The sequence below is a fragment of the Homo sapiens genome, chromosome 21 (genome assembly GCF_000001405.40).
Source record: "Homo sapiens chromosome 21, GRCh38.p14 Primary Assembly".
NCBI classification, from domain to species: domain Eukaryota; kingdom Metazoa; phylum Chordata; class Mammalia; order Primates; family Hominidae; genus Homo; species Homo sapiens.
The window spans coordinates 35,152,069-35,167,712 of NC_000021.9; the positions used below are offsets into that span (position 1 = coordinate 35,152,069).

Consider the following 15,644-nt stretch of genomic DNA (forward strand, 5'->3'; position numbering starts at 1 on the left):
GGGACCTGTAAGGATAACTAAAGGGAAATGTTAGAGCTGAAAAGTGCAATAGCTAAAATTAGAAACAGTGGAAGGACTGAAGCATATCAAAGAGTAAGAGAGAGTCAGTGAATTGAAAGATAGATTTAAAAAAATTCAGAAGGAGGCATAGAGATAAAAAAAAGTATGAAAAATATAGAAGAAAGGGTAAGAGACAGAAGTTCTAACATAGATGTCATGAGGTTCCTTTTAACAGAATAACAGAATGAGAATGATGTAGATACGTTATATGTAGAGGCCTTGACTGACCATTTTCCAAACTGGCAGAAAATATCAAGCTAGAGGTTCAAGAAGCAAGATAAATTCAGAGAAAACTACATCAGAGAAAATGGCTGAAAACCAAGGACAATGAGAAAATCTTAAAAGAGACTAGAGGAAAAAAGAAACACTAATTTTGGAGAAGGAACATTAATTCACAGTTGCTGCCTTGAAAATTAAAAAATAATAAAATGATAAAATAAAATAAAAATAATGAAAACCAGAAGATAATAAAAGAAATTCTGAAAGTTATCCTCCAACCTGGAATTCTATATAGGGTGAAAATATTCTTCAAGAATGAAGACATGAAAACAAAATAAAGACAATTTCAGACCAAGAACCCCACCAAAACAAACAAAAAACCCAGGGAATTTGTCACTAGTAAACCTGAACTAAAGAGGATATTAAAGATATTTTTCAGGAAGAAGGAAAATGATTCCAGGAAGGAGCAAAAAGCAAGAAAAGGCAAATATGTCTGTAAATTGAAATGCATCTTGACTATACCAATCTATAATAATAACACTTGAATAGAATATGAAATATTCCAGGCATGGTGGTGCACACTTGTAATCCCAGCACTTTGGGAGGTTGAGGCGGGTGGATCACTTGAGGTCAGGAGTTTGAGACCAGCCTGGCCAACATGGCAAAACCCCATCTCTACTAAAAATATAAAAATTAGCAGGGCATTGTGGCGTGCACCTGTAGTCCCAGCTACTTGGAAGGCTGAGGCAGGAGAATCGCTTGAACCTGGGAGGCAGAGATTGTAGTGAACTGAGATTGTACCACTGCACTCCAGCCCGGGTGACAGAGCAAGAATCTGTCTCAAAAAAAAAAAAAAAAAAAAGAAATACGTATGCAATTAAAATAAATGACAACAACAGCAATAAGTTAGAAGGGAGTGAAAAGAAGTCTTTGCATTAACTGAGATGAGGCAAAGAGTACTGATTTATATCATATTTGAGTAAGTCAGGAAAGCCAGCTGCAATCTCTAGGTAAGCTGTAAAAAAATACTGAAAGAGTGTTAACCATCACACTCATATTCTACTTCATAATCAAAATAGAATAAATTTTAAATATTCCATAAAAGCAAAAGAACACAAGGATGAAGAAAAAAGAAATATAGAAACAGGTAGAAGTAAAAAGCAAATAATAGAATAATAAATTATGCCCTAAATATATCAGTATTAATAGTAGCATAGTGATTGTAAACTGTGTTCTTAGGGACTGACAATAATACTAGCCATTAATTTGTTGAAGTAATACTGTCTGCTAACTACTTAACATGAAGTAACTCATTTAATCCTCAGAGTATTCATACCCAGCAAAGACTGTTATTATCCTCACTTTAAACATGAGGAAACATAGGCACAGAGAGGTTAAATAACTGTCCCAGGATTACCCAGCAGGTCTGGAGCACAGCTGGAGTTTGAAACCATGTGTTTAACTTTGAGTGTGATATTCTAACCACCATGTTGTACTCGATGACCCTGCCTCTCCTGTGGTAGCACAAAGAAAGATCTAGACTTGTCTGCCATGAAAGAAAATAGATTGTTTCCGACTTCAGGCATTTCCTTCAGATTAGATAATTAAGCCACCAACATATTTAAACTTAAAAAAAAAACATATCGAGAGAAGCTTGGTTGCCACGTATATTAAAAGCCTTAAGAAATTTCATTCTTGGACGGAGCATTTGCACATTTCTGAAGGCATCCCAAGAACAAAATAAGTATAGAAAAATAAATAGATAAACAGAGATGCTCATTGCAGGCTTATCTGTGACAGTGAAAAGATCAAACGGTGTGAATGTATCATTAATGATGGCACATTTAGTGAAATAATATGTGGCTAGTAAAAGGGTATTATAAGTAAAAGCAATATATATATATATACACACACACACATATATAAAATAAAAAGTTATATTAAGTGGAGGGGAAAGTAAACAAGAGAGCATATGCCAGAATTATCACAAACTGGTACAATTCCCAATTCCTATGTATTCTTGACAAAAATCCTCAGAGGAGAAAAAGAACTATGCAAAATATTATACATTCTTGAAGGAAATACACTGAAATATTAGAACTGTAGCATGTATATTTGGGTTGCAGGATCAGAAATGCATTTGCACCTCTTTTTGTATTTCCCAGTTCTCCTTGGGGCTCGCATTAGGATTAACATGTAAGTTAATTCATATAAAAGTTGTTTGGGCGCAGTGGCTCACGCCTGTAATCCCAACACTTTGGGAGGCCAAGGTGGGCGGATCACAAGGTCAGGAGATTGAGACCATCCTGGCTAACACGGTGAAACCCCGTCTCTACTATAAAAAAAAAAAAATTGGCCTGGCGTGGTAGCTGGCACCTGTAGTCCCAGCTACTCGGGAGGCTGAGGCAGGAGAATGGCTTGAACCCGGGAGGCAGAGCTTGCAGTGAGCCGAGATGGCGCCACTGTACTCCAGCCTGGGTGACAGAGCAAGACTCTGTCTCAGAAAAAAAACAAAACAAAACGTTGTTGTTTGAAATGATGACACTTTCTGTTATCTGATGAGGGGGATGTGCTTTCACTGAGTGTATTTAGAAAAGGACTCATTAACCAAAGAGGGCAGAGCTCCTGCTGCGATGTAACCTCTTCCCCCACCAAGTGGCTGAGGCTCACTCATCTTACCCTTTTGCCTCTAGTGTGGAAGGAACTGAAGGTAAGGCCACATGGTTCCAGGCTGATGGAGCTCGGCAGTGTTCAGAAGCAGCTGCTTTAAGGAAAGACCTGCTCTGGGGCCTCATGGATGGCATGAGTAGAGAGGAAAGAGAACATTCGAGAAAAAAGACATCATCAACATATCCTATGTGAGGCCGATGCTTTCTTTGCAACTTCAAGTGATGTTTTTGTGGGATCATTAGTCTATCCATCTGTAGCCATGCATCCAGCAAATTCAGTATCTGTCACATGGAAACACTATGCTAGGGGCCCAGAGGGGAGAAAATGAGTTTAAGGAACAGATAAAGATTTTGTCCCAGATACCAATCAATCATGAAAAAGGGGACTTCACTCCCTTTGTTTACGAAGGTCCATTTCAGTTTCCCTGTCTACTGCACACATTATATCACTGAGATGTTTGGCTTTCCTGAGAATCGAAGAACCCGCTGGAAAATAGTGATGTCATTCTGAAGGTAGTTTCTCAAAGTGTAGTCTATGCAGGAAGGAGCGGAGGGACAGTAGCTCTTCTTTATCTCAAGGGTCCTTTTGTTGGACACTTTGAGGGGTCCTTGGTTAGGGTTGTTGTGAACTTGGCTGGGACAAAATACATCTTTATTTTTACAAACTCCATCTTTATTTTTACAAACTCCTAACTCAAACATAGCATTTTCTTCTATCATAAATATAGAAAAGAAATTGCAGTAGTATTAGAAATATGTGTAACTTTCAGCCAGGCACGGTGGCTCACGTCTGTAATCCTATCATTCTGGGAGGCGGAAGTGGGCAGATCACCTGAGCTTAGGAGTTTGGGACCAGACTGGGCAACACGGCAAAAATGTGTCTCTACAAAAAAATACAAATATTAGCAAGGTGTGCATCTGTAGTCCTAGCTACTTGGGAAGCTGAGGCAGGAGAATTGCTTGAGTCCGGGAGGCAGAAGTTGCAGTGAGCCAAGATCGCACCACTGCACTCCAGCCTGGGTGACACAGTGAGATCTTGTCTCAAAAAAAAAAAAGCGGGGGGGGGTAACTTTCTCACCAGTTGATTGAAATAATGGATAGCTTCAAATCACATTATAGTGCTTACAAATGTACCAAAATATTGTGTATGCTCATCACTACCCTGAAATTACAGTCCTTGGGCTTGGAAATAGGTCATGTTATTTAATGAGTTTAATGAGTTAATAAAGAGTCATAACTGTTATTATTCACAATTTTTTAGAGAAGCATTTTGATAACTATATTAACCAAAATTCTCCAGAGAAACAGAATGGTTGGCAAACTGGAGACTTAAAAGAGCTGACGGTGAAATGACTTTCCAGCCCAAAGGTAATCAGGCAGGAAGGATTTCCTCTTACTTGGGGGAGGGTCAGCCTTTTGTTCTCTTCAGGCCTCAACTGATTGGATGAGGCCCCACTCACATCAGGGAGGGCAATCTACTTTACTCAGTCCATCAGTTTAAATATTAAACCTATCCAAAAACGCCTTTACAGAAACACCCAGAATAATGTTTGACTAAATACCTGGGCATTCTGGGATCCAGTGAAGTTGACATAAAATTAACCATTACAAGTCCACCTGTTGTTAACTTGGAACACATACTCATCTCCTTAAGATGTATTTAATTAATCACCACATGAAGACAGTAGCAAGTTTATAATTCTGCCTGACATGATACAGCTTTCCTGCTCACAATAAAAAATGTGCTAACCCTTTCCCAAGAGGAGGAGATAAAGCCCTTGAGTAATGTTTACTCTTCTCCTTGATAGTCTGTACTCAAAAACAGTAATATAAAACCAATACATTATATATTTCATGATAAAGGAATAATAGAAGGAAGAAAACACAGAAATTTGCCCTATATCTGTGTGCACATACATACACACAAGTAAATTCAGAACAAAATAAGGAGGAAATATTCATGACAATTACAGTCTTCATTTCCATAACAGGTCATGTAACCGTAACTGCTATTTACAACTCCCTTTTCCCACTATTCATTATGTATTCTCTTTGCCTTCAGCAATCAGATCAGCTAGTCATGGTTCTTTACTTGGTGGAATAATCCAAGCCTTCATTCCAGAAGGGTCTGGGCCACTACTAGCCCTGCCTGAAGTGGGTGGTTGTAGTTTCTCATTGACCTTAATGACAAGGCGTGGTAATACTAAAGACACTCTAAGGGATCTCCTATGTTCCAAACATACTCTTCCTTCCCTCCAAGTGGTCCCATTTCCCCTTACTCGTCAGGATCAATCACCCCTACCAGCAGAGTAACTCTCTTCTATGCCTGTTCATTTAGCATTATGAGGAGTACAAAGTGGGAGAATGGCAATCTTAAGTTCCAGTTCAATGAAATCATTGTGTGTCTCCTGGTAGAAGCATTCTTCCCTTCCCAGGAGCTGATATGGTTTGGCTGTGTTCCCACCCAAATCTTATCTTGAATTGTAACTCAAGATGAGATTTGGGTGGGGACACAATTCCCATGTGTCATGGGAGGAACCCAGTGGGAGGTGATTAAATTATGAGGGGCGGGTCTTTCCTGCACTGTTCTTATGATAGTGAATGAGTCTCAGGAGATATGATGGTTTTAAAAATGGGAGTTTCCCTGCACAGGCTCTCTCTCTTTCTTTGCCTGCTGCCATCCATGTAAGATGTTACTTGCTCCTCCTTGCCTTCTGCCATGATTGTGAGGCCTCCCCAGCCATGTGGAACTGTGAGTCCATTAAACCTCTTTCTTTTTTAAATTGCCCAGTCTTTATTAGCAGTGTTAAAACAGACTAATACGGTAAATGAGCTAAGACCTCTAGGCCAAAGGACATAAGGTCATCAGAGCAGAAAGCAAAGGTTTTACTAGTGGGTCACTAAGGCTAACAGTGAATGGTGCTATTTTCTCCCTTTGATTTGCAGGCCCATCAATTCTGGCTATGAGGAAAACAGGACCATGTATTGGAAGCTGATTCAGAGCCTACACAGCCTTCTGGAGAATCTTACCCCAGCCCTACAAGATATTGCCACCTAGCTGACACTGTAACTGAGTCTTCAAAATGCCATTCCACTGTTTTATCAAACCAGTTGTTTCAAGATGGAGGGAAACATAAGACCAGTGAATTCCACGAGCATGGGCCCACTGCAGCACTTCATTTGCTGTGAAGTGAGTTCCTTGATCAGAAGCAGTTTTTTATGGAATACCATGATGGTGGATAAGGCAATTCTTTAAGTCCACGGATGGTAGTTTTGGCCAGAAGCATTGCATGCAGGGAAGACAAATCTGTATCTATGCCATCTATTCCAGTAAGAAAAAACACTACTTCTTCCATGATGGAAGTGGTCCAATGTAATCAACCTGCCACCAAGTCAATCACCTGGTTGGTCTGACTTGGCAATAGGTCTTGATATTGAATGAGTCAATAAGGATACATAACTGTTACTATTCACAAATTTTAAGAAACTACTTTGACAGCTATATTTCAATATAATTGCCTTTAACAGAACAAATCCACTGAGTGTGGTGACTCATGCCTGTAATCCTAGTACTTTGGGAGGCCGAGGCAGGTAGATCACCTGAGGTCAGGAGTTCGAGACCAGCCTGACCAATATGGTGAAACCCTGTCTCTACTAAAAATACAAACATTAGCTGGGCATGGTGGCATGTGCCTGTAATCCCAGCAACTCAGGAGGCTGAGACAGGAGAATCTCTTGAACCCAAGTGGCAGAGGTTGCAGTGAGCCAAGATCTCACCATTGCACTCCAGCCTGGACAGCCTGGACAACAGAGCGAGACTCCATCTCAAAAAACAAACAAACAAACAAACAAACAAAAGAAACAACAACAACAAAAAAAACAAAGCGAATTATTGGTAAAATACTGGATGTATCTTGTCTTTGATTACAATTATAGATTAATTTAGAATGAGGCAATATCTTTTGTATTTTCTTACTGGCTAGGCAATCGGGAATAGTCTTCTATAAGTGGTGCTAACAAGACTATTTTATTTTTCTTTTCTCTCCACTCAGCCATGTCCCCAATATTTTGGACCTGAGGTATGAAAATAAGTACCTTATTTCTACTCCCCCCAATTGTTCTATTGAATCTAGTTCTACTGAAATAATTACATCTCTGTTGCTGCATTCCAATCATGAGCTTGATTGTAATCTCAGCATTTTAGGCACAGTAGAACAAGGAAGAGCTTTCCATCAGAAGTGATCGCAGGAGACACTGTTCATTAGTTCGACTACTATTTTTCAGAGCACACCCTGAAAGTCAGGAGTAATACCAGGTAATTTAGGGCTTCAAGAATGGATGAAACATGGCTACAACAGTAAAGGAGCTTAATCAAGCAAGAGAGACAGGCATGTAGAAGGCCCTGGGAACCCAGAAAATGGAGCAGGAGACTCTGTCTGGCACAAGGAAGGTGGCTTTATGGATGGAGGTACATTTACACCTGGTCTGTAAGAATGGGTATGGTTTCGCATAGTAGAAAAGGGACAAGGGAGAAAGACTGGATACAAAAGAAGGGGATTAGTGGTGGAGCAATTACAATTAGAGGAGGCAATAAAAGGAGTGGGGACATAGTGTATTTTAGGGACCACAACCAGTGTCTATGGAGCTAGAATAAAAATTATCCGGGTAAGAAGATGAAGTTAGGTGTTGCTGGAAAGGTAGGATGCCGTGGAGACTGGACTTGGGATTTGACAACCAGTAACTGAAAGCCATCAATAACTTCTAGGCAGGGGAATAACATGATCAGATGCGTGTTAGAAAGATGACTCAGGAGACCACATATTTAAGGAAAACAATGGAATCACAATATCCTGGGACCATTCTGAATTTGGGGAAACAAAGAGAGAGAGAGAGAAAGAAAAGAATCAAAGATACCTTTTGAATGCCTAGCTTAGGTGAGAGGTTTGGTGGTGACATCCCTAATGGGGGAAAGGTCAAGTTAGAGGCAGAGAATCAAGGTCTGGAGATCTAGAGAGATCCTGAGTCTGGGAAAATAAAGGTATGAGTCATCTACATGGAAGTGATAGTTAAAGCTATGGGAATGAAGGAGCTTTCCTGGGAGAACGTCTAGACTTGTGATGTGAAGAGCCTTGAGGACAAAACCCGGGGGAGCACTAACGGGTAAGAGTGGTGCCAAGAAAGATGAGTCAGTGAGGGAAACAAGGAGAGGAGGCAGAGGATCCTACGGAGAATCAAGAAATGCTATAAGAAATTAGGAGGCAAACTCAGAGCAGCAAGGTGGGTGGGAGAATTGCAATAAGAGCTTCCAAAGTGGTTGTGGAAGCTAAGATTAGAAATTTGAATTCTGGGTTGGGCACGGTGGCTCACGCCTGTAATCCCAGCACTTTGGGAGGCTGAGGCGGGCAGATCACCTGAGGTCCGGAGTTCGAGACCAGCCTGACCAACATGGAGAAACCCCATCTCTACTAAAACTACAAACTTAGCTGGGCCTGGTGGTGCATGCCTGTAATCCCAGCTACTCCGGAGGCTGAGGCAGGAGAATGGCTTGAACCCAGGAAGTGGAGGTTGCTGTGAGCCGAGATCACGCCATTGCACTCCAGCCTGGGAAACAAGAGCGAAACTCCGTCTCAAAAAAAAAAAAAAAAAAAAGAAAGAAAGAAAGAAAAAGAAAAAAAAAAAAAAGAAATTTGAATTCTGGAGGTGAAGTGACATTGTCCACATAGGACAACATCCGGGTGCTGTTGTGGGAAATGTTGAGCTGAGATGTAGGTGAAAAGATCTAGCAATTCAAAGTCAAGGGTGATTCAGTTCCTCCAAGAAGAGGTTTACAGGAGGTTATGCACTGCTTGAGAGGAGCACATAGATGAGATGACAAGTCACTTGCTTTCAGAGGCCTGCAGACCAAGGTGGCACCTGCATTTTCCCCACAATGGAGTGGCAAGATGAAGAAAGACCCTCCAACATGAAAGTTTGTTTTCGGGTTGGTTTATTGCAATATTGCAGTTGGTGCTCCTTGTGACTGTGAGATAGTCAAGGCTAGCGAAAGGTAATATACCCAAGGTAGAGTTTGTTCAAATCTATTTGGTTAGATATGGGCCAAGCCATAGCCTTGGCTTCCTGACCACTAAGCTCTCAGCCACCTAAGAAGCCGTCTTCTTCTGAAGCCCATTCCTATCAAGAGCCTATTCCTATCATTTGGTACGACGGTGAGCTATCCGGGGACACGCATGAAGAGGCAAATCTCTTCCCAAGCTCCATCTTCTGTAGAAGCCAAGCTTCTGGTCCTGCTCTTATCTTTTTCATGAACATTCGCCAGTCCCTGCTGTCACTCTTGCTCCCCACAGTCTCCATCTGGCCCCTCAGCCAGGTTCCCTTTGAAATGTAAGTTATATTGTAGCACTCCCCTGCTTAAAACTCTATTGTGGTTTCCCATCATGCTTAGACTAAAGCTGAGGGTCAAGGCCATGATCTAAAGGCCTTGCCATAATCTGTAGCAGTGGATCTCAATGTAGGGTGATTTCACATCCACCCCCAAGATACCTGGCAATGTCTGGAGACATTTTTGGCCGTCACAATTTGTGGGGAGAGGTTGCTAATAGCATCTAGTGGGTATAGGCCAGGGATGCTGCTAGCATTCTACAGTACACAGGACTCGCCACCAGCTACAATGACAAACAATTATCCAGCCCCAAATGCCAATGGTGCCAAGGCAGGAAGACCCTGCCCTACAGGGCCCTCATACTCTGGTCCTGCCTATCCTGCGTACCCTCGCTGATGCATTCCTCCTGGGTCACTCTCATCCTGGCCAGTCATGCTTTCCTCAGATGCACCATTGCTACCTTAGGACATTTTGTACCTTCTTCCTCTGATGCCTCCCCTAAATGTTCTCCAGGCTTGCCCCTTCTCACTGTGCAGGTTTCTGCCAAAACGCTGCTCCTTAAGGCTTTCTCCAATTCTATAATCTAAACTAGCTCCTCCTCTCCCACTGCCCTCCTGCTTTCTTCACAGCACTTTGATCATCTGAAATGCTATGACTTAATGGCCTCGTTCTGTCTTTATCATCTGTCTTCTTTGCTGGGAGGTGAGCTCCCTGAGAGCACGGCTTTGTCCCATCCCCAGAGCAGCACCAGCACTTGGTCACTCAAGAGATAGCTACCAATTAAGTAAAGGGAAGAATGCCTGTCTGGGGCCTGGCTCCCTAAGATGCTGATCCTGGGGTGCAATGACAGGTGATCCCTGACTCTCTTAATACTCATCCAACAAGGACTCTTCAATTCGATTTTGAAGCTGTTTGGCCTTACATTTGCCTAACACCCACCCAACACAGCATAGGAAGGCCATTGGATCCAAAGGGTTACAAGTCATAGGACCAAATGCCAGGCATCTTGGATGAGCCTGCTTTGGTCAAAGAACCTTCACTGCATTCTCCTTCACTCTGGACTTTGGGTTTTCCCATTCATGGGTTGGGTAGCATGACCAACCTCAAACACTAGATTCAAGTGCAATTTCCAACCTTGTTTGGACTGTATCACGCAAAGCACACGCACGCATGAGAGTACACGTACAGGGTCACAGACATGTTATCATATAGGGCATAGATCCTCTTTTAGCAAGCCAACCACAGTGTTGGTCAAACTATTTCTATTACAACATAAATGCAACTCAAATAGAAGCAAGTCTCTGTAGTCTGAGAGTTGGGGAGAGGTGAGCCTGGTGAAAGCTCTTCAGAGTGTCCCACGGGAACCTAGTGTTCCCAAGCAGGGTAGGTTTGGGGTTCAATTTAATTCATTTACAGTGGAAACATTTTACAGCATCGCATGAAGTTTTCTTTTATAAAGTAAATTTCGAACCCACCCATCCTCATAACTTCTGATCTCCTGTCAGTACCAGTTTTCTTTTTTTTTTCTTTTCTTTCTTTCTGAAGAGAGGTCTCCCTAGGGTAAAAAGTAAAAACAGCTTTTCCTGGAAAAGTTCATGCTACCCTCATTTACCTTTTGCATAACAAAAGCCCAGACTCTAATTCTGAATAGCTGTTTTGTGTAGTTGAACCAGGTGTCCCGCTTGGAGAGACTGAACATTGGAAGTCAGAGAAATGCCAATTTGCTGTGTTTCAAAATACTTTGTTTCAATTGCTGCCAAAGCCTGGGGCAAAATGCTATAATCTATTTCCAGTTGTAGCTTTTCAGCTGGCTCAGCCTATTTTTTAAAAAATTTATTAACATGCCCAAGTGACAGTATCACTTATTAACCTTATTGATCTGGGAAAAATTTTGTTAACTATAAAACATATTCATTATTTGGGGTTAGTACTAGTGACTTCTTGACAGCAAAACATCCAAGTCTTAGAAGGTGAAAACTGATTTATAAATACATAGCAAACATGCTAATTAAAATACATCAGTGATGTATGTCTGTAGATTAAATAATCAGATGATATTAAGTGAAACGGAGAAAGGCACGTTGCCACTGTATTTGAGGTAGACTACTGACACATCTGATTACAACATATTTTCAATTTAGAGTGTGAGAGAGACATTCTACCATTGTTAGTCACATCACATCTGGTCGATCCAGTCCTATATTTTTCTGAATGTGCCACATTTGCAAAGAAAGATCTTAAGGAAAAGGCAGCATATGGTTTGCTAACTACCAGAGACATGAAAGGCTTTCAGATAAATGCATAAGTCTCATTCATTCAACAAATATTTTCTGAGGATTTACTAGGGGCTAGGTATGATTGCAGATGCTGAGTCTGCAAAGTAAACATATATACTTATGTGAACACAGTATTCAGCACCTGGGGCCCTGCACTGGGATTTTATCAGAATTCTTAGACAGCATTTGGATAAGCTTATTCCTCATAGATCTCTGCTTTCTCTCTCCAAAGGATGAAGCTGAAGACTGGAGAAGTGTATACAATGGAAAGGAATGGGATCTGTAGTCAAAGATGTGGAATCAAACTTTGACACTTGACAAACTGAGTTGGCCAAATGGTTTTACATCCTTGAGTCTCAGGATCCTTCTTTATAAAGTAACCCAACCTCATCAGGGTGGAGTCATGGCAAAACAAGGTAGGGTATATACATTGCTGGTGGAATGCAAAGTGGTACAGCCACAGTGGAAAACAGTTTGATGGTTCTTCCAAGAGTTAAAGCTACCATACGACCCAGAAATTCCACTCCTACCTACATACTGAAAAGAATTAAAGACAGATGCTCAAACAAATACAGGTACTCCTATGTTCACAGCAGCATTATTCACAAGAGACAAGAGATGAAAACAACCCGAACGCCCAATAATAGATGAATGGATAAAGAAAATGTGGTATATACAGACAATGGTGTATTATTCAGCCCTAAAAAGGAATGAAATTTGGATACATGCTACAACGTGGACGTACCTCAAAAACATTACACCCAGCAAAAGAAGCCAGATGCAAAAGACCACATACTGCATGATTCTATTTATATGAAATATCTAGAATAGGAAAATCCACAGGAACAGAGAGTAGATTGGTGGTTGCCATAGGCTGCGGGAGAGGGAATAAGGAGTGATTTTTCATGGCCACAGAGTTCCTTTCAGGTGATGCAACTGTTTTGCAAGTAGATAGAGGTAGTGGTTGTACAACATCGTGAATGTACTAAGTGCCATTGAAATGTTCACTTTTAAAATGATCAAGATTATTTTTGAATTTCATCTGAGTTGAAAAAAAAATGAGTGTATATGAAAATATTCCTTATATGTTTTTAGTGACTTACCCAGGGTCACTCAGGTGGTTGGAAGATGGGTGGATAAAAGGCTATGTAGAGAGGTCAGAGGGAGTCTGAATCTTCTAGTGACTCATTCTATTTATTTATTAATAATCGAGCAATAAACGTATATATTTGTGAACATCATGATGCTTTGATACATGTATCCCTTGTGGAATGGCTAAATCAAGCTAATTAACATATGCATCACCCTACTTATCATATTTTTTGGTAGTGAGAACACTTGGTATTTACACTTTCAGCAATTTTTATGTATAAAACATACTGTTATTGACTAGAGTCACCATGCTGCACAATAGATCTCCAGAACTGATTCCTGCTGTCTAACAGAAATTTTGTATCCTTTGACCATCATGTTTCCCAACCCTCATCCCCAGCCTCTGGAAACCACCATTCCACTCTGTGCTTCTACGAGTTTGACTTTTTCAGATTCCACATATGAGTGAGATCATGTGGTATTTGTCTGTCTGTGCCTGGCTTATTTCACTTAACACAATGTTCTCTCTTTTTTAAGGCTGCATAGTATTCCACTGGGTACATATACCACATTTTCTTTATCCATTGATGAATCTTTAGGTCGATCTCCTAACTTGGCCATTGTAAATAATGCTACAATGAGCGTGGGGGTGCAGGCATCTCTCTGACATACCAATTTTATATCCATCTAGTGACTCTTTCTTGACAGAGAAAAACTTTTCTCTGAACCTCCCCCAAATTTTCCTTCAGGTCTCACTGCCCAAAACGAGGTCACATGACTATACCTAAATCAGTCATGACAGACAAATGGAGGGGGTTGTCGTTAGACCAGTCAGGCGTGGCTAATCCCTTTGCACCCATACGGTGGCCAAGTGTGTGTACTTAGGAGGCACACATTTTGTGCTGTGGAGAAAGGCTGAACTTCCTCACAAAGACTCAGAAACACTTGGCAAATCTAAAGGACAGTCAAGAAGGAGACATAAAACAGATACAAAACTGGATACAAAATATGGTGACTGCGTTAAGAAGACCTCCCATTGGAGACAGCTTTACAGAAGAGATGAGAGTAGGAGAATGATTTAGGGAGAGAGGTGGGTGGTGAATACAGTGGGCCCTTGAGGAGAAAACACCTGGGAAGTCCTGGCTTGCAACTCCTACTCTGGAGGTGACCCTGGAAAAGTCTGGATTTACCCTGAATGAACCGAACTCTCCCCGAGCTTCATTTTTCTTATCTGTGAAAAAAGGGTAGAGACGCCTTCCTCACAGAGACACTGAAAGAATTATACTCGGAGATGGAAAAAAAATACTGCCTAATTTATGGTAAGATTAGAGACTGTTTAGTCTCTAGTCTTGACTGTCATCCCAAAATGACATGATTAAAGATGGGTTTTCACTTTATAATAAATATTGTTTAGTAATAGATTAATAAACCGACGGGCTTGAAAACAGTTCAAATATATTGAAAGAATAAAAGAAAAGAAAGAAAGAAAAAGAGTGAGAGAGAAAGAGAGAGAGAGAAGGAGGGAGGGAGGGAAGGAAGGGGGAAGGGAAGAAAGAAAGAAGGAACGAAGGAAGGAAGGAAAAGAAATTATCCCTTGAATGCCTGACTACCTTCACACCTAACATAATCGGAAGCAGAAATTCTGATTGGACGCTGAGTTCCTCAAAATCCCCCAAATGGAGTAATCACTGTTGGTTCCCTGCCCAGCTCCAACAGCACCCTGCCATCCTTAGAAATCTCCAACACATACACCATAGACTTGGCTCGGAACCACTCTTCAGGGTATTCATTTCTTGGTTCCTTATGCCCAGGACTGGACACATAATTTTCAGGACCCACTGCAAAATCGAAGCCCCTTGTTGAAAAAGAATTAAGGATCTCAAGGTGGTGACAGGGGAACATTAACCCGAGTGTGGACCCTTCTAAGCATGGGGCCTCCTGTTACTGATCAGGTCACCTGTTCATGAAGCCAGCCCTGGCTACTCCCTACAGGTGAGAGATACAAATTCCTTAGCACGACATCCAGGGCTCTTCAGAAGGGGACCCCAGCCCCTCGTGAACACCTCACAGCTTCTATAATGTTTCCCTACTTGAGGGCCTTTGCACGTGCCCCTCTCAGGGTCAGGGGTGTGCATCCTCTCTGTTCCATCATCACACCCTCCACACCCACCCAGCTCCTCCAAACCCTTAACCCATCTTGCTCCACTCCCTAGCCCCACACTCCTTAGGCAGAATCTGGTTCCCTAGGGTCCCCACTAAGCATTTGTCTCATGGCACTTAAACCAGATTTTTTATACCTTGGTCTCTTCCTATAAGAAGATGAGCTCCTTGAGTTCAGGGAATATTCTCTCCTTCTGTGACCCTGGCCTTCTCTCACGCAGTGTCTGCTGTCTGGGTTCATGAATGAGTGTAGGGCTAACCGCCTGCCTCAATGGCAGTAGATTGGACCATTCACACTCAGACATGATCCTGGCCAGAACCTCTTGAGTCTATCGGCTGTCCCAACCTTGCCTCTGATGTTGTGTGGCTCCTTACCTCATTCCTCCCCCTTTTACTTGGTTTTAAGCTGCAGGGATGATAGTGCCTCTCAGATCTCAACTCTAGGCATTCACATGCCCATTATCGAGTGACTTAGTTTGAATTCCTCTAAAAGCAGACCCAAAGAAAAAGATTTGGGCCAAGTATTTTATTTGGCGGGTGATGCCAGGAAGCACTGTGAGGGAGCAGGGAACTGAGAAAGTAGAGGGTGGAAAGCTACAAAGAGACACCTTGATTAGTAGGTTCCATTTTAGGCAAATAGGACTCAGGCCTGCTGGGGACCCTCTGAAAATTTTTGGTGAACCCAGTCCAAGTGATCCTAACCAGAGGTGAAGAAACTGGGGTATTTATTTGCAACTGCTGCCTCTCATTGGTAATAGGTCACTCTAGGAACTTGCTGGCACTTCCAGT

The 15,644-nt window shown here is 41.7% G+C and overlaps 1 annotated feature.

The window, feature by feature from the left end:
* Nucleotides 2,764–3,058: an enhancer, noted in NCBI's record as "tiled region #12281; K562 Activating DNase matched - State 5:Enh". NCBI's record gives its function as "activates a minimal TATA promoter and a strong SV40 promoter by Sharpr-MPRA in K562 cells {active_cell/tissue: K562}" and the evidence as "EXISTENCE:reporter gene assay evidence [ECO:0000049][PMID:27701403]".